The 19,477-nt window shown below is 41.2% G+C and overlaps 1 protein-coding gene across 2 annotated transcripts; it reads right to left on the reverse strand.

Moving 5' to 3' along the window:
* Positions 1-1,506: 1,506 nt before the first annotated feature.
* SPANXN3 (SPANX family member N3) lies at positions 1,507-10,247 on the reverse strand. Of its 2 annotated transcripts, none has more exons than NM_001009609.4 (2): positions 10,086-10,247; positions 1,507-1,934 (listed from the first exon to the last, which is right to left on the reverse strand). In NM_001009609.4, exons 1-2 carry the CDS (start codon positions 10,161-10,163, stop codon positions 1,587-1,589), a joined length of 426 nt encoding a protein of 141 aa, NP_001009609.2. In that variant the 5' UTR covers positions 10,164-10,247; the 3' UTR covers positions 1,507-1,586. The 2 variants fall into 2 exon arrangements, with proteins under 2 accessions (NP_001009609.2, XP_016884753.1); XM_017029264.2 differs by lacking the exon at positions 10,086-10,247 and adding an exon at positions 9,387-9,666.
* Between the last annotated feature and the right edge of the window lie 9,230 nt (positions 10,248-19,477).

Consider the following 19,477-nt stretch of genomic DNA (forward strand, 5'->3'; position numbering starts at 1 on the left):
GAAAGAAAATGTAATACTAAGGTATAAATTAAACAAAACATGGACCAGAAGGTGGTTACAAATATTAAATATCAAAATATCTTTCTAAAATTTACAAAATACAAAAATGTACCTGATAAATCCATTTACAAGGGAAGAACAGATTTTATATACATAGATGCATCTTAAAAACAGGCCTGAGTGAAACATTAAATATTGACAATGCATACATAAATTGAAAACAAATGTCCACAAGCAATAAGAAATGTTTATTAACACTCATACAGAGAAAAGGATACACATCAAATGCATTACAATAATTGCCAATGTAGACAAGAGAAATAAAACTGGGTCGTGGAAATAAAGGAGAGTGAATGAATAAATAAACAGGAGAGGGTCTTGGAAATTAACACAAAGAATGTAACTCAGCCCTCTAAACTTGATGCCAAAACCACTCTATTGTATTCCCTTCAATAAAAACAGTATTTTTTTTCAAGGGAAGAATTCCTAGTCATTGACATTCTATAGAAATGCAGGTGTATGGAAGTGGCAATAAAAATACCAACTTTTGTTTGTATCATTGTATGCAAATTCTCTGTAGACTATGCTTTCATTGATTGCCTGCAGTAGACAATGGCCACTCCCAGTGCCCCACACTTGGTAGGCTACTGCTCCACCTAGAGTTTCTTAACAAGGAAATGCCCTAGTATTGGGACCATGGCCTCCAAGCACCATTATTTTAGTGTGTGTGACATGATGTCTTACTTTATGTAGGGTGAGGTTTTTGATCCGTTTGAGGGGCTTCAGTTGCTCACAGCATTGGATGAGTCATAACCCATGCCACTATGATGTATGTGGCCTGGAGGTGGTGATTTTGATGTCTTCATTTTGGAAAGAGTGTCACTGTCACCTAAATACAATCCAGGTCATTTTATTTTGTTTTATTTTATTTAATTTTTGTTATTTTGGAAACAGAGCCTTGCTCTATCCCCCAGGCTGGAGTGCAGTGGCGTGATCTCGGCTCACTGCAACTTCCACCTCCTGGGTTCAAGCGATTCTCCTGCCTTGGCCTTCAAGTAGCTGGGATTACAGGTGCCTGACACCATGCCTGGCTAATTTTTATATATTTTTTAGTAGAGACAGGGGTTCACCATGTTGGCCCATGCTGGTCTCAAACTCCTGACCTCAGGTGACTGCCAGTCTCAGCCTCCCAAAGTGCTGGGATTAGAGGCATGAGCCACCATGCCCAGCGAATACAGATCTTTTTGTACACCCTTCTACACAATCACATGCTCCAAGAAACACCATGTCCTTTTCTTCCTCTCCTGTAAGACAAAATTTTAAGAAGAAAATTTGTCTGAGGAATCAGTCCTCCGCCAGTCCTTATTTGCAATGTCTGGCTAACTGTCAACCTGTGGGTCCGTCTCCCAACCTACAGGACCTCATATCCCTCCCTTCTCAAATGCCTACCTCTTCCCTTCCCTTCCCCACCCCACACCAGACAACAGGCAGAGATAAACACAGTCATCAGCTCCTTAAACTTGATTTTATTGTAATCATCGCCATCAGTGGTGATGATTTGTCCAATTTGGTTTCTCCATGTGTGACTAATCCTCCCCACTGTCCTGTGAAGATCCTTCAGATAAGCCTAGGTCTTCATCCTCCTGTGAGGATCCTTCAGATGAGTCTAGATCTTTGTCCTCCTTTGAAGGTCCTTCACATGGGCCTAGGTCTTCATCCTCATTTGAAGATCCTTCAGATAAGTCTACGCCTTCGTCCTCCTCCTTTTGGATTGGATTGATGGAGTTCTCTTGGGACTGTTCATTCTCCAGTTGATTTGAATTTATTTTCTTACCCTTCCTGAGGTAATACACAAATATTATTGGATATTCTGATGTTTTTGTGTTCTTCAAACTCTGTTCGGGGGCTAAGACTCTGTTTGGTACCTCTTGCATCTGGTAAGAAAATAGGGAGAGGCCAGAAAGACATTATTTTGGGTGAATAGGATAGAGACTAGATAGCAAGGGGGGCTTTATGAGAAGGAATGCAGGTGGAGGAAGGGGTGTGTGCCAGAGAAGAACAAGGTGAAATCATAGGGTAGGTATCTATGCAGAAGAAGAAGAGGAGCATGGGTAGAGTCACCTGTTAGTCCAAACTGCATGATTTTGTAAGTTTTTGCTATGTTGCAGACCTTGGTCAAAGTGAAACATTCCATGGGGGTTCAGGCCATGAGCAACATCCTGCCTAACCACCTGACCACAAGGTGGACAAAGGCTCAACTAAAGAAACATCCCTATCATAAGTCCTGTTCCCCTTATTCTTTCATCTTCTCCAGCCCTGGGCTAACCTCCAGATATTGATTAAACTCTCCATCTTATTTTTCCTTCATTCCCCTTTCCAGGCAGCTGCAAAGGAACACCACAATGATATTCCACTGGAAAAAGGGCCAAACCACCTGATCATAAGAACATCTTATCAATATCCTCCTGGGCAGCAAGCCATACTGCCCAGCTCCCTCCCACCCATACCTGTAAGTACCCCAGGCTATAAGCGGCAGTGGGCTCTGGCATTAAGCTGGTCCCCCACTTCCACAGGTGTCTGCAATATTCCTGTGTTGTTGTTTGAGATGCACCCTCTCTGTCTGTCTTTCTTTCACCCTCATCTTCCCTTCAAAACCTAACACTTTGGTGCCAAAACCCAGGACGGTGATTGGGTTCTAATGGGTAAGTTTTCTCTTGCAACCTGGAAAGCAGAAAGCAGCAAGCAGCACAAACTAGACCGGGGCCTACTTCCAGATCCTGAGTGGACTGTCTGTTCCCAGTCCTGTTTCCCCTATTCTCTCATCTTCTCCAGCCCTGGACTAACCTCCAGATATTGATCAAACTCTCCATCTTATTTTTCCTTCCTTCCCCTTCCCAAGCAGCTGCAACCAGGATCACCCCCATTGCTGGACATCACATCCAACACTGGGCTTCAATTCGTGGGTGAGTCTCCCTATTCTTCCTTTCTGGATTCCTTTCTATTTCTGCTTGTTCTCCAAAAAAATTCCAGTGCTGGGTGAGAGGTCTCCCCAGTCACCAGGTGACTGCAGCCTCCCTTCTCAGGGGACAGCCTCAGAACACTTGCCATTCTGGCCGCTCCGTCCTCTGGGGAGCATGAATAGCTATGGGGCTGTCCCAACTCTCCAGGTCCCTTCTCCCAGGTGGAATCCAGTACTCACTTTCCTCTGGGGTATTCACTTCCCTCTGGAGAACTCACTCCCCTCTGGGGTATTCACTCCCTTCTGGGGTACTCACTTTCCCCAGAGTATTCACTCCCATCCAGAGTATTCACTCCCCTCTTCTAAAAAACAAAACATTCAACTTTCAAATTCAACATCATCTAAAAATCTTTCTCCAACACAATGGTAAATGATCTGAAGTGCTTTGCTTATCTCCGCTCATGCCTCACTCACTCTCCTGCCAATCTTGTTCACCTTTTCAAATCTTCCTCCTCAAGGAGAAACCCCCCAAAATGCCTCCTCCTCGGGACAAGCCTTCCTCCTCTGAATTTCAACCTGGCCAACAAACCCCTTCGTCTGGCTCCTGCCCTCTCCCATTCCCTCCACCTTCTCCTTCGGATCCGGCTCCTCCACCCCCTTACTGTCACCCTCCATCCCCCTTCCTTCTCCACCTCAAACCAGGTCTCACGCCCAACGCTCTTTTGCCGAAAACCAGACACATGCCCAAAGGCCTTCCAAAGTCTTTCCCTTGCAGGAGGTTGCAAGGACTGAAGGCATAATCTGAATTCAAGTTCCCTAGCTGACTTCTCCCATACTGAAAAGAGACTTTGCTCCTTTTCAATGGATCCTACCTCCTTCCTCAAGGAATGTCTGTACTTCCCTAAATCTTATGACCTTACCTGGCATGACATATATGTCATCCTCTCCTCTACCCTCACCCTGGAGGACAGGGAACACATATTTACGGGTGCCCAGGTCCATGAGAACACCCTCCACCAACAAGATGCTGCTCATAACCCAGTAGGGACCCTAGCTGTCCCCAGAACTGACCTCAATCGGAATTATCAGGCAACTTCTGTAGACAGGCAGAAACCAGGCCATATGATATCATGCCTTCTAGCTGGCATAAATAAAGTCGCCCCTGCTCTTTTCCTCTCCCGCCTTTTCAAAGGTCACAACTAAATATGCCACCTTAAGCCCTAATACCATTAAGGGCAAAATCTACCTCCATTTACACTTTATCTCCCAGTCAGCCCCAGACATTTGAAAAAAAACTTTAAAAAGTGGAGGATGGCCCTCAAACCTCCAAAGAGACTTAATCAAAGTGGCCTTTAAGGTCTATAAGATTAGAGAGGAAGAACTAAAAAACCCAAACCTAAAAAAGGGCCAGGCTAAATATCAAATGCTGATAGCTGCCACTCAACAGGGTTCCCAAGGCATACAGAATTCCTCAACTTGGCAACAGTCAACTCCAGGAGCCTGTTATAAGTGCATCCAACAGGGACACTGAGCAAAAGCCTGGCCTAATCCCGTGACACTCTGGAAGCCTTGCCCCATCTGTGATATCAAGCAACACTGGAAGTCAGACTGTGCTCAGTGAAACTCTTCATCTAGCTTCACCACCTGTACCTGAAGACAGGTGGGGCCTAGAGTCCACCACCCCTACTGCCATCACCACCTCGGAACCCAGGGTAATTCTGTCAGTCTCTAGTAAGTCCATGTCTTTCCTATTGGATACTCAATACGACAACTAGTTACTCGGTTTTACCAGAATATTCTAGACCCTTTTTCTGTTCTTCGATCTCTATTGTGAGAATCAATAAAATCCCCTCTAGGCACAGACTCGTCCTTTATTATGCAACCTATTCAACAGCCCCCTTCACCCACTGTTTCCTGGTTATCCCTCAGTCCCCTACCCCTATCTTGGGGTGGGACATATTAAGTAAATTCCAGGCCTCCATGCAATGCGGCTCCTACAATTCTACCCCTTTTATTTTACTCCGACACCCAAACGCTTCCCTCTCCCCCTACTCATCCTCATTATCCACCCTGTTACCTTCTGTTAATTCTAAAGCTTGGAATGTTTCTAAACCCACAATAGCCACACATCACATCCCAGTTAAAATAACCTTTCAAAACTCCTCCATTTTCTTTTTTCAGTCTCAATATCCCCTTAATCCAGCCGTGCTTAGGGGCCTCAAACCTATTATTTGTAAACTTTAACAAGCTCATATTCTCAAGCCTGTTAACTCTCCCCAGAACACCCCTATTCTGGCTTTCCAAAAGACAGACGGGACTTACCCCTTTGTCCAGGATCTCCAAGTTGTTGACCAGGCAGTGGTACCAATACATCTAGTGGTCCTCAACCAATATGCTCTACTCTCCCATATTCCTAAATCTACTACACACTCCTCTGTATTGGAACTGAAAGATGCCTATTTCACCATTCCCTTAAATCCGGCTTACAGAAGTCTTTTTGCTTTAACTTGGTCAAGTCCTAATACTCACATGTGCACCCAACTAGAGTGGACTGTACTCTTACAGGGGTTCCAGGATAGCCCCCACCTATTCAGACTTGCCCTCATCAAGGACCTAGGTGAACTTTCCCTTGCTGCTAGCACCCTCCTGCAACATGTCAAACTCCTTCTCTGTAGCCCCTTCCTTAACCTGTCCATCCAACACACCACTTAGGTTTTAAACTTCCTCCATAATAGAGGAAATCTCAGGTAGCCCAAACCAAAGTTTGGGCCTAGCCCACAATATTTCAGGTAGCCCAAACCAAAGTTACTTACCTTGGGTTTGTCCTAACCCCTAATTCTCGAGCCATCCCAACCCAATGAAAGGAGCTAATTTGGGACATGCCCTTTCCTCACACAAAAAAGTACCTTCTCTCCTTCTCGGGCCTTGTGGGTTACTTCTGGCTGTCAGTTCCCAATTTTGACTTGCTGGCCAAGCCACTAAACAGGGCCTCACATGGGCCCATCCTAAAACCCCTAAACCCAGCTTGCCCCATCAACTCCCACTTAAAAACTTAAAAATGCCCTTTTAATGGCCCTGGCACAGGGACTGCCCAACCTCACCAAGCCCGTTACTTTGTATGTACATTCTGACCAGGGCCTTGCCCTTGGACTACTCTGCCAAACATACGGCAACGCCACACAAGCCACTGCACTTCTCTCAAAACAACTGGACTCTGTTGTTTTGTGTGACCAAGGCTGGTCACTCTGACTAAAAATCTTGGCTGTGGCCACATCGCTGGCCTTAGAGGCACGGAAACTCCCTCTTTACCAACACATTACTATTGCATCTTCCCATTACCTACAGGACCTCATAAACCATCAATCCCTTCTATCCCTCCTACCATCCTGCTTATAACAGGTACATGCCTTATTCCTAGGTAGCCCTCTAATCCCCTTCCAGAGATATAAAACTCTCAACCCAGCCACCCTCCTCCCTGTAAACACTTCCGATTCTAGGCTCTCTCACTCCTGTCTGGACCTCTTAGACTCCCTCTCCTCCTCCTTCCAACACATTTCACATGCCCCTTTGCAGGGAACACATACACGGTTAGTTAATGGAAGCTCTTTTAGGGAGCCATGTCCAGCAGCTGGCTATTCCATCATTGCTGAAAATAAACTCCTAGAATCCAATGCTCTGCCACCCCATGCTACCTCTCAACAGCCTAAGCTAGTTGCCCTAACCAGGGCCCTCACCCTAGCAAAGGGAAAGAGGGTCAACATTTACACCCATTCCAAATATGCATACCATGTCCTACAGTCTCATGCCTTCATCTGGCAGGAACAGGGTTTCCTAACTACAAAAGGAACTCCCATAAGAAATGGCAAACTTATACATAAGCTGCTGGGGGTGGATAAACTACCACCAAAGGCCACCATTATCCATTGCAAGGGGTGCCGAAAGTCTAAAGATGCCATAACCGAGAGAAACCTTTCAACAAATTTGGCAGCCTGGCAGGCAGCCCTTAAAACCCCATCGTTATTGCTCATTTTTTCCTGTATATACCCAGAAGGAATGAACCCCACTTGCCCGGGCTGGTGCCATTCAGGAAAAAATTGTTTGATCTCAGTGATAAAGTGTCTTGTCCAAGTTTAAAAAACCTTCTGTACTTTCATATGTGCACAACCATTTCCATGCTGCTTACTGCCCCTACTCCAGCTTTTAGAAAATTATATACATTCTTCTGCCATGGCTGCCAATCTGAAATATATTACTAAGGCATGTTCCCTTTGCACTCAAACTTCCCCTCAGGAAGCTATCAAACCACCTCCTTTCCAACACACAAGGTCTGAGGACACTTACCAGGGCAGGACTAGCAAATCAACGTCACTCACATGTCCCCCAGAAAGTGATTCCTATACCTTCTGACAATAGTAGATACATTCTCTGGATGGATAAAAGCTTTTCCCACCACCACCGAAAAGGCACAGACCATTGCTTCTATTCTCTTCACCCATATTATCCACCGGTTTAAACTCCCCTCTTGCATCCAGTCAGACAACGGGCCAATTTGTTTCACAGTTTAACCAACAGCTGGTAAAGGCTGTAAACATTAAATTGGCTTTGCATATTCCTTACCACCCCGAATCTTCAGGGAAACTTTTTTAGAAAACAGCAACTGACCAATCTTCCCTAAAGGTTAAAATGGCCTGGACTTCACTTCTCCCATTGTTCCTCATGCATTTATGAGTCATTTCCCAAAAGCTCCTCAGCCTAAGCCCATTTAAACTCATGTACAAATGCCCTTTTATCCTCCAGAATCTCCCTGTATTTTCCCCCCATTCTATATGGAATACTTGGCCGGCGTTACACCTCACCCAACATCTAATAAGACAGTACACAAATGCTTACTTGACCCAGCCTAAAAGTCCATCCTCAAAATACTCCGCCCTGTCCCTACAACCAGGGGACTGGGTCTGAATCACAGACTCCTCCTCCTCCCCTTTCCAACCTAAGCGGAAATGTTCCCACCAGGTTATCCTAACTACTCCGACTGGGGCAAAGCTAACATCCTTTCCACACTGAATACACCATTCCAAACTAAAAAGAGCACCAGACCCACATCTAGAAATTTCCTCACCCCCATATTATTCTCCTTCCCCGACAGGACCAACCTCACTGTACTTAACAAGAATTCCAGAAGTTGCCAATCCAGAACACCTTAGTCCATAACACTCTCTGTCTCCAATTTCCAATCTTTTATCTCCTACTTTATTTCAGATCTTTCCTGGCTACCCTTCCCCATGTCCCTGAATAGTCCATGCCAATTCGTCATACTAATCCAGGAGGTATGACTGCAGGGCACCTTCCAAAATTTCACTCCTACTCAAATCTCCTCTTTCTTCTTTTGTCCTCTTTGTCTGTGGGATACTCTAAGTCCCCACCCCCAACCTCTGACAGTTGAGCCCCCTTCATCAGCCTCACACCTTTCCTCTTAAATCAGTCACACTCCCCTCTTCCTTCCAACTGTTAAACTTGTTTGTCCACACAAATCCAGCAATTCACAGCCCTTCCTGTCAACCTGGCCACATGAACTCGGTCCAAAATAAGCCTGCATCTCACCTACTTGACCAGTTCATTCCCAAACCTGTTTATAATCTTGATCAGCTAAACTCTTTTTCCCCCAATCCATCAAATCCACCCACACCATCACATACAGGGCTGTCACCCTCCCTCGCCTCATAGCCTCTTAACTGAATATGTTACAAACGGATTCCATAAAACACCTTTTAGAAACCCCTCCCCTCTTGGCTGGAGCCGCTCTTCATATTATCCAACTCAAGGGCGCTCGCTGGAAAACATGCACAAACAATTCCCTCAAGTGCAACCTATATCCTTCTGCCCTGTCAGGGCTACAATGGCTATTAGTTACAAAAACCCATTTCCCCCTCTCTTTCCAAAACCAAACAGCCTCCATCTCCTCCACCACCAACATTTCCTATCAGGCCGTCAGAGGGGCTACCCTTGCTGGCAGCTATTCAACTTGGAAAAATATAAAAGTTAAAACAAAGAATTTCTGCAGAATTCAACACCCACCTTCTCATGGCTTGCCACCATAACCTACAACTTTTGTCTGTCCACCCCCAGTGTCTTCTTCTTTTGTGCCACAAACTCTTATCTCTGCCTACTGGCCAAATGGTCAGGAACATACACCCTGGTGTTTCAGCCTAAACATTAACATTTTGCCTAACAAGCAGACCATCCAGGTTCCTTTAGTAGCTTCTGTCTCATCTTCCTCCACACACACTAAGCAGGCTCTACATCTCATTCTAGTGTTAGCAGAAGTAAACATCTCTGCTGCAGTCAGCACTGAGATAGCAGGGGGCCCCTTTCTTAGGACCCTTAATTTTCCTCCTCCTAATACTACAATTGGCCCATGTATATTTACCTTCATATCCCGCTTTATCTCCCGAAGGCTAAACTCCCCTGTCCAGGCGGCCACCCAGCAACACATTGATACCATCCTTCTCCTCTGCCAAGTCCAGTACCAGTGCCTCCAGGAAAACAACTCTGAAGTCCAACACCCACTGCTTCAAAACCCAAACCCTGATTACAGCTCCCCTATTCGGCAGGAAGCAGCCAGATAATCAACAATGCCCCTCTTCCTTTTATACTAAAGTAGAAGGCAAGAATGTGAGTCCAAACCACCATTTAGTAAGCACCCTGCTATTTTTCAGACCTTGGTCAAAGTGAAACATTCCACGGGGGTTCGGGCCATGAGAAAAATCTTGCCTAATCGTCGTAACACAAGACGGACAAAGGTCCAACTAAAGAAACTTTCCTATCATATCTTGCTGGGCAAAGTTTCAAGATACACCACAATGACATCCCACTGGAAAAAGGACCAAACAGCCTGATCATAAAAACATCTTATCAATATCCTGCCGGGCAGCAAGCCATACTGCCCAGGCCCCTCCCACCCCTACCTACAAGCACCCCAGCCTGTAAGCAGCGGTGGGCTCTGGCATTAAGCGGGTCCCCCACTTCCACAGGTGTCTGCAGTATTCCTGTGTTGCTGTTTGAGCCACCCCCTCTCTGTGTGTCTTTCTTTCACCCTCACCTTCCCTTCAAAACCTGACAATCTTACCTCATCATTTTTTTTGTTATTGGATTCACAGGGGCTCTTCGTCTTCTCCCCATTGGTGCTGGAAGTTGGCTGTTCCATGATTCTGGTTGGTTGTAGAATGTCTATAGTAGGCTCCTGTAGACTGCAGACTTCCACAGCTATGTTGAAGCTTCCCAGTGGGATGTCCCAGAGCTCTTGCCCTCCCTATATATACCCTCCTGGTGACAAGGCAAAGCCACACCCTTGAGCTTTGTTTGATCATACAGGCAGTGTCCCAGCCAATGGCGGTCCTAAGGTGGCTTTGACATCACAAAGCCCCACTGCTGACCACTCCTTGGGCTTGTGGGGGAGGGGTGACAGGGATGTAGAGGAAACCAAATGCGGTTGTTGTTTCAGCATCCCCTGAAGATGCATCCCAAACCGATCTGCCGCCGCTCCTCATTTCTCCATGTTTAATGTTCATGGTTCACATGGAAGTCAGAGGATGATTCCTTCAAGCCCTTCCCCACAGCCATTCCTATGAAGTGATTCATTCTTTTGTCTTCCAGCCCTCACCATGACTTAGTATTTTAGATGTCTCACCTCAAATCCCCCAAGCTAGTGTGGCTACATTTAATTATTAGTTATTAATTACTAGTTACATTTAATAATTAATAATTAATTATCCCATTTCCCTCCTACAGTTCCTTCATATGCACCTTGAAGACCATTTACTTTTAGGCTACTGCCAGGCAAATTTCAACCCATGTTATTTTACTCAATGTCCGTGTAGTTCTTTTAAATTTCCTATTTCCAATCTGCAATAATGGCCTTCAGTCTGTCAAAATTTTAGTGAATAAACATTCTTTACTGTGTATCCTAGTCTTGTTTCAAATGAGGGGTGTATTTTCATAGTAAATGTAGTCTCCCAACATGAATTCTGCCAGTATGTGGGTGGGGGAAGGAGTGGATATTCAAGTGCTGGAAGTTGTTCTCAGTGTTTACATGCAGGATGCTACAATCTAAGACCCACATGTGCACCAGTATGGGCATAGTTATACTTTGTACTGAAGATTGTGTCCAGTGCAAAAAGAAAAATGCATTCAGTTTGGAAGGGGAGAAGTAAAAGTGTCTTTTGTCAAAGACTACATGAAAGTATATGTAGAAAAGTCAATCTATAAAAAAGCTTCTACAATAATTGAGGTTAGCAAGATTGCAGAGTAAGAGATCAATACACAAATCAATTGTATGTTTATATATTAGAAGAGGCAGTGTTTCAGCTAATGGTAGTCCTAGGGTGGACTGGAAGTTAATTTCAACAAATGAAAGTTGAAACTAAGAACAGTGCAATTTAAAATATCACTAAAAATATTAAAGTCTTAGGGATAAATCTGACCAAAAATGTAAATGACTTGTACACTTAAAACTACAAAAAAATTGCAATGATAAGTTAATGACATCAAAAATCCAGATGTATACTTTGATTTTCGGTTGGAAGATTCAATATTGTAAAGTGGCAGTTATTCCAAATTCATCTGTAAGTTCAACTCAATTCTAATCAAAATTCTAAAAAGGATTTTTAATAGAAATTGACAAGATAATTATAATAGTCATATGGAAATGTAAAGTGCCTAGAACAGCCAAAAGAAAAGTGTTGAATCTTAAAAAGCTCTGGATTGCATCACTGTCAATGTTCTAGTTTTGATAGTGTAATGTGGTAGTGTACTGAAGATTTTACCATTGGGAGAGGCTGGTTGAAGGGTACATAAGGCCTCCATGTACATATCTTTGAAACTTCTTGTGAACTTATAATTGTTTCAAAATAAAAAGCTAAAAATGTTTTAAAAGAGAATAAGAGAGAGGGCCAAAGATAAAGAAGGCATGGCCCTAGATTCCTCCCATAGGTTGACACTTGTCCATTCTCTATAGGAAGTCACAAAACGCAATAACGGAAAAAAAAAATTTAAAAATAGAACAAAAGTGAAGTAGACCCTGGATTTTTGTTCCGGTGTTCGTCAAGCTCACATATCTTTACTTCATACACCATAAAATCAATAAAAGCCTAGCAAAATACGCTGCTGACCCTCCAGAAACAAATAATTTATAGCACTCCCATGACTGCCATCTAAACACTAACAAACCAAGCGAACCTTGTATACATTTTTTTTCCTTAGTGAATTCCAGATGTTGTCTACAGATTAACAACTCCATTTAGTAAATTCTTACAAACTAACATCTAAGTATTTATTTCTTTTGGACTTTTGCCTGCAATTAACAGTGAGAACATCAAACTGTCATGTCATAAAAAACAAAACAAAACAAAACAAGCAAGAACCAACAGCCATGCCGCATCAAATAGGGTAGGTCAAAAATTGATTAAAATTGCTGAAAATAACAGCTTTCAATTACCTTATTACCTTTTATGATTGTTTTCTAAATTTGTTTACAAAAAATATTTTGATGGGTATATCACTATCCAGTGAAAATTCATCAAAATGTTAGGAACACATTCAGTGGCATATTTCTATTGAAAGATTACAACTTACTTTATAAAATAACTCCTATTGAAAAACTTAGTGATTATGTTATATTTTCCACTAAAATGAATAATAAAGAATTAAAGGTCATCAGTGTACAATGAGTTCATTGTATTGATTTTTTTTAAAATTTCTGATGTGTTCAGTTTTTAAGAATATTCTTCTTTTTCATATCAGGTTGAGGAACTACTCAAAGTGACTCTCCCATATCATGCTGTAAGTCAGAGATGGACCCAGGGTCAGAACCAGGGACTCCTTTAAACCTTTTCACCTCTTGTTTTTGAGCCTTTGTACAAGTGATATTACAGACTGACATTAGTTTAGTTATAATAATAACCCTCAACTGCATTCTTAATGATTTTTGTTACAATTTTTATCTAAGGTAGGTTTAAACACCACACAAAGTACCAGACACAGGATAGGATCTGCTTGGGATGTGCAGCATTCCATGGCCACAAAGAGCAAGGTGTTAGAAGCCAACCGTATATTTCCCTCTGGAGCACAGACAGTTGAAAAGCAATCATTGAGAAAGAGTTGAGTATGAAAGAGAAATACATCCTACTACTGGCTTTACGTGTGACTGAATGAGTGGCTTTGAAAAATACCAGCACGATTACCTCCACTGCAACCACCACTACCTCTACACTAATATTAATACTACTACTAGCCATAGATTCTATACACCAAGAACCTATTATATGTCAGGCTCTGCTCTAAGCACATAGTATCTAGGTCAAACAGATGATACATCCAAAATGGGATATTTGACAAATATTTGTCTGCAAAGGGACCATCTATAAACAGGTAGATGCAGGGGGAACGTCAGAGATTGTGCTAGTAGCAGCTGCCATAACTCCGAACCCAAAGGAATGAGAGCAGGGAGGAAGTGGTTACTAGAATCTGGAAAAATCAATAATCATGAGAAAATTGCTGTCTTCAGAAGTACAGTGACCTCCACCAAGAGACTCATCCAGCTCAAGGTGACTCACAGGGATGGAGCCAGGGGAATAGGTCCACAGCCCTCACTCTCCTTCCTTTCTCCCTCCCACCTCCAACTCTCCTTGGGGCTTTTCATTAGCCAAACCCAGTGGACACCAGAGTCCAGGAGCCCATTGAGAGAATCCTTCCTAAATAGCCTCTCAGGACAGCACAGGTGAAGAATGGTGGTGAGTGGATCTGGAAAGGCAGAGGGAAGATGTTCAGCAGAGATGCAATACTCACAGCAGTCCCAGGAGGTAGATATCATCATGCGGGTCTGATTTACTGATAAGGAAATTGAGGCTCAGAGAAGCTCAATAACACAGTAATTGTGAAACAGTGTTCAAACCAAGTTCAAGCTGCCCTACATCTCATATTCTTTCTGGTACTCTGGGTAAACTGCGTACCTTCTGTAGGCTTCAGATCCCTCAGCTGTAGCATGAGTCAATTGGAACAACCAATGTCATTTTTTAAAAATATGCTATGAGGCCGGGCACAGTGGCTCACAGCTGTAATCCCAGCACTTTGGGAAGCTGAGGCGAGCAGATTGCCTGAGCTTAGGAGTTCGAGACCAGCCTGGGCAATATGGCAAAACCCCATCTCTACTAAAAATTCCAAAAATTAGACAAGCATGGTGGCACATCCCTAGAGTCCCAGCTACTCAGGAAACTGAAGAACGAGAATTGCTTGAACCCAGGAGGTGGGGGTTGCAGTGAGCTGAGATGGGGCCAATGCACTCCAGCCTGGGTGGCAGTGAGACCCTGTCTCAAAAAATAAATAAATAAAATAAGATAATAAATAAAAAATATGCTATGATTCTATAATCCTCACTTTTTAAAAATTTTATTATTATTATACTTTAAGTTTTAGGGTACATGTGCACAACGTGCAGGTTTGTTACATATGTATACATGTGCCATGTTGGTGTGCTGCACCCATTAACTCGTCATTTAGTATTAGGTATATCTCCTAATGCTATCCCTCCCGTCTCCCCCGACCCCACAACAGCCCCCGGTGTGTGATGTTCTCCTTCCTGTGTCCATGTGTTCTCATTGTTCAATTCCCACCTATGAGTGAGAACATGCGGTGTTTCGTTTTTTGTCCTTGTGATAGTTTGCTGAGAATGATGCTTTCCAGTTTCATCCATGTCCCTACAAAGGACATGAAGTCATCATTTTTTTATGGCTGCATAGTATTCCATGGTGTATATGTGCCACATTTTCTTAATCCAGTCTATCGTTGTTGGACATTTGGGTTGCTTCCAAGTCTTTGCTATTGTGAATAGTGCTGCAATAAACATACGTGTGCATGTGTCTTTATAGCAGCATGCTTTCTAATCCTTTGGGTATATACCCAGTAATGGGATGGCTGGGTCAAATGGTATTTCTAGTTCTAGATCCCTGAGGAATCACCACACTGACTTCCACAATGGTTGAACTAGTTTACAGTCCCACCAACAGTGTAAAAGTGTTCCTATTTCTCCACATCCTCTCCGGCACCTGTTGTTTCCTGACTTTTTAATGATTGCCATTCTAACTGGTGTGAGATGGTATCTCATTGTGGTTTTGATTTGCATTTCTCTGATGGCCAGTGATGATGAGCATTTTTTCATGTGTTTTTTGGCTGCATAAATGTCTTCTTTGGAGAAGTGTCTGTTCATATCCTTTGCCCACTTTTTGATGGAGTTGTTTGTTTTTTTCTTGTAAATTTGTTTGAGTTCTTTGTAGATTCTGGATATTAGCCCTTTGTCAGATGAGTAGGTTGCAAAAATTTTCTCCCATTCTGTAGGTTGCCTGTTCACTCTGATGGTAGTTTCTTTTGCTGTGCAGAAGCTCTTTAGTTTAATTAGATCCCATTTGTCAATTTTGGCTTTTGTTGCCAATGCTTTTGGTGTTTTAGACATGAAGTCCTTGCCCATGCCTATGTCCTGAATGGTATTGCCTAGGTTTTCTTAATGATTCCTTTAAACTTTAGGTTATATTATGAATCCAGCCAACCAGACTTACAACTCCACAGTGTAAAACTATGTGTGGTGGGGCTATCCTGCCTTGAACTATCGTGGTTCTTCCTTCTGATTCTATTACCACTGGGAGAATACTAGCCCCTAAGAATAAAGCTGTTGGTTTAATATGGAGGATTAGCCCAAAACTAGGATGCTTTAGACAGAAGTAAGCTATCAAAGACCATCAAGTCTCTCAACAACTCTTAAGTGAGCACATATTCTGTTTCAAGCACTAGACTAGTCATAGGGATATAAAGACCATGGTCCTCATCCTGCACTTTTTGAAGAAAATCGTTCTCCATGCCATCCCAAAAGTATATTCCATATATGGCATATTGAAAAGATATACTGAAGTAATGTCCAGCCTGAGAAAAAATAAAACATACTCCTTACAATCAAACATTCTGAGTCATCAGAAATTTTCTACAGTGCTCAACATTTTAACTTTTTTTCTTTTTAATTTTGTTTTATTTTTAATTCTTGTGAGTACATAGTAGGTGCATGTATTTATGGAGTACATGAGATGTTTTGGTACATGCATACAATAAAGAATAATCACATCATGAAGAATGGGGTATTCATCCCTTCAAGAATTTATTCTTCATGTTACAAACAATCCAATAATGTCCTTTTGGTTATTTTGAAATGTACAATTAAGTTACTATTGGCTGCAGTCACTCTGTTGTGCTATCAAATAGTAGGTCTTACTCATTCTTTCTATTTTTTATAACCATAACTTTTCCCACATTTCCCCCAACCCCTAAATACACATCCCATCCTCTGGTCAGAGGATGTTCAATTGTTTTGATATTTCGAATATGTCGAATAGTTCAATTGTTTTGATATTTAGATCCCCCAAATAAATGCCAACATGTGATGCTTGTCTTTCTGTGCCTGGCTTGTTTCACTAATCATAATGGTTTCCAGTCCCATCCACGTGGTTGCAAATGACGGGATCTCATTCTTTTCATGGCTGAATAGTACTCAACTGTGTATATGTACCCCATTTTTTCTTCATTTATCTATTGGTGGACATTTAGGTTGCTTCCAACTCTTAGCTATTGTGAACAATCCTGCAACAAACATGAGAATGCAGGTGTCTTTTCAATATAATGAATTCCTTACTTTTGGGTATATACCCAATAGTAGGTGTGTTGGATCACATGGTGGCTCTATTTAGGTTTTTGAGGAACCTTCGAACTATGGTTGTATTAGTTTATATTCCCACCAACAGTGTACAAGGGTTCTCTTTTCTCCGTATCCTCGCCAGCATTTGTAATTGCCTGTCTTTTGGATAAAAGTCATTTTAACTGGGGTGAGATGATATCTCATTCTAGTTATATTTGCATTTCCCTGATGATCAATGATGTTGAGCACCTTTTCATATGCCTGTTTGCCATTTGTATGTCTTCCTTTGAGAAAAGTCTATTCAAATCTTTTACCCATTTTTTGATCAGATTATTATATTTGTATCTCATAGTGTTGTTTGAGCTTTTTGTATATTCTGGTTATTAATCCCTTGTGCCACAGCTTGTTTGCAAATATTTTCTCCCATCCTGTGAGTTGTCTCTTCAATTTATTAACTGTTCACAGAAGCTCTTTAACTTGACATAATCTCATTTCTCCATGTTTGCCTAGGTTGCCTGCACTTGTAAGATATAAGATATTGCCCAAGGAATTTTTGTGCAGACCAAAGTCCTGGAAATTTTCCACAATGTTTTCTTGTAGCAATTTCACGTTTGTGGTCTTAGATTTAAGTTTTTATTCTATTTAGATTTGAATTATGTATATGGAGAGAAATAGGGGTCTAGTTTCATTCTTCTGTATATGGATATCCAGTTTCCCCAGCACCATTTATTGAAGACACTGTCTATGTCCCAATGTATGTTCTTGGTACTTTTGTTGAAAATTAGTTCACCCTAGATGTGTAAATATGTTCTCTATTTTGTTCCATTGGTCTATGAGTCTGTTTTGATACCAGTACTATGCTGTTTTGGTTACTACAGCTCTGTAGTATAGTTTGAAGCCAGTTAATGTGATTCCTTCAGTTTTGTTCTTTTTGCACAGGATAGTGTTAGCTATTCTGGATCTATTGTGGTTCCATATAAATTTTAGGATTGGTTTTTCTATTCCTGTGAAGAATCTCATTGGTACTTTGATAGAGATGGAATTGAATCTGTAGATTGCTTTGGGTAGTAGGGCCATGTTAAAATTATTAATCCTTTCAATCCATTAAAATGGAATATATTTCCATTTTTTGGCATCCTCTTTAATTTCTTTCATCAGTGTTTTAGTTTTCATTATACAGATTGTTCACTTCTTTGGTGAAGTTAATTCCTAGGTATTTCATTTTACGTGTGGCTAATGTAAATAAAATAATTTTTAAAATTTATTTTTCAGGTTGTTCACTGGTGGCATATATAAATGCTACAGATTTTTGTGTGTTGATTTCGTATCCTGCAACTTTAAATAATTTGTTTAGGAGTTCTGAGAGTTTTTTGGTAGAGTCTCTAGGTTTTTCCAAATAGAAGATTGTATCATCTGCAAACACAGATAATTTCACTTCTTCCATTCCAATTTAAATGCCCTTTCTTTCTCTTGCTTGATTATTCTAGCTAGAACTTCAAGCACTATATAACAATGGTGAAAGTGGGCATCCTTGTTGTGTTTCAGATCATAAAGACTTTCACTTTTTTTTCCATTCAGTATGATACTAGATGTGGGTCTGACACATATGGCTTTTATTATGTTGATATATGTTCATTCTATATGCAGTTTTTTTTCAGGGTTCTTAACATGAAATTATATTGAATTTTATCAAATGTCTTTTCAGCATCAATTGAAATGATCCTATGGTTTTTAGCTTTCATTCTGTTGATATGATGTATTACATTGACTGATTTGTGCATGTTGAGACCTTTTTGCATCCCAGTGATAAATTCTACTTGGTCATGATGAATTATCTTTCAAATGTATTGTTTAATATGATTTGCTAGTATTTCATTGAGGATTTTCATATTAATATCCATCAGAATTTTGGCCTGTAGTTTTTGTTTTTCCTTTTTTATGTGTCTTTGTCCGGTTTTGGTTATCAGGGTAAAACAGGCATTTTAGAATGATTTTGAAAGTATTTCCTTCTCCTCTATTTTTTGGAACAGTTTGAGTAAAATTGGTATTAGCTCATCTTTAAATGTTTGGTAGAATTCAACAGTGAAGCCATCAGGTCCTGGGCTTTCCTTTACTGAGAGACTGCTTATTACAGCTTTTATCTTGTTACATCCCTTTGGTTTATTCAGGTTTTGGATATCTTCATGCAAACTTGGTAGGTGGTATGGGTAAGAATTTATGCATTTCTTGGAGATTTTCCAATTTATTGACATATAGTTTCTCATGGTCGCCACTAACGATCCTCTGAATTTCTGCCGTATCTGTTGTAATGTCTCCTTTTAATCTCTGCTTTTATTTATTTGGATCTTCTCTGCTTTTTCTTACTTACTCTGGCTAAAGTTTCGTCATTTTGTGTAGCTTTTCAAAAAACCAACTTTTTGTTTTATTGATATTCTGTATTGATTTTCTTCATTTTAGTTTCATTTATTTCTGCTCTGATCTTTATTATTTATTTTCTTCTATGAATTTTGGGTTCAGTTTGATCTCATTTTTCTAGTTTTTTTAAGATGCACCATAAAATTATTTATTTGGAGTTGTTCCTCTTTTTTAATGTAGGCACTTATAGCTATAAACTTCCTACTTAATACTGCTTTTGCTGTATCCCATGGGTTTTAGTATGTTGTGTTTCCATTATCATTTAAGAAACTTCAATTTACCTCTTAATTTCTTCATTGACCCACTGGTAATTCAGGAGCATATTATTTAATTTCTATGTATATGTATAGTTTCCAGAATTATTTTTGTTATTA

The sequence above is a fragment of the Homo sapiens genome, chromosome X, assembly GCF_000001405.40.
Source record: "Homo sapiens chromosome X, GRCh38.p14 Primary Assembly".
Classification (NCBI taxonomy): domain Eukaryota; kingdom Metazoa; phylum Chordata; class Mammalia; order Primates; family Hominidae; genus Homo; species Homo sapiens.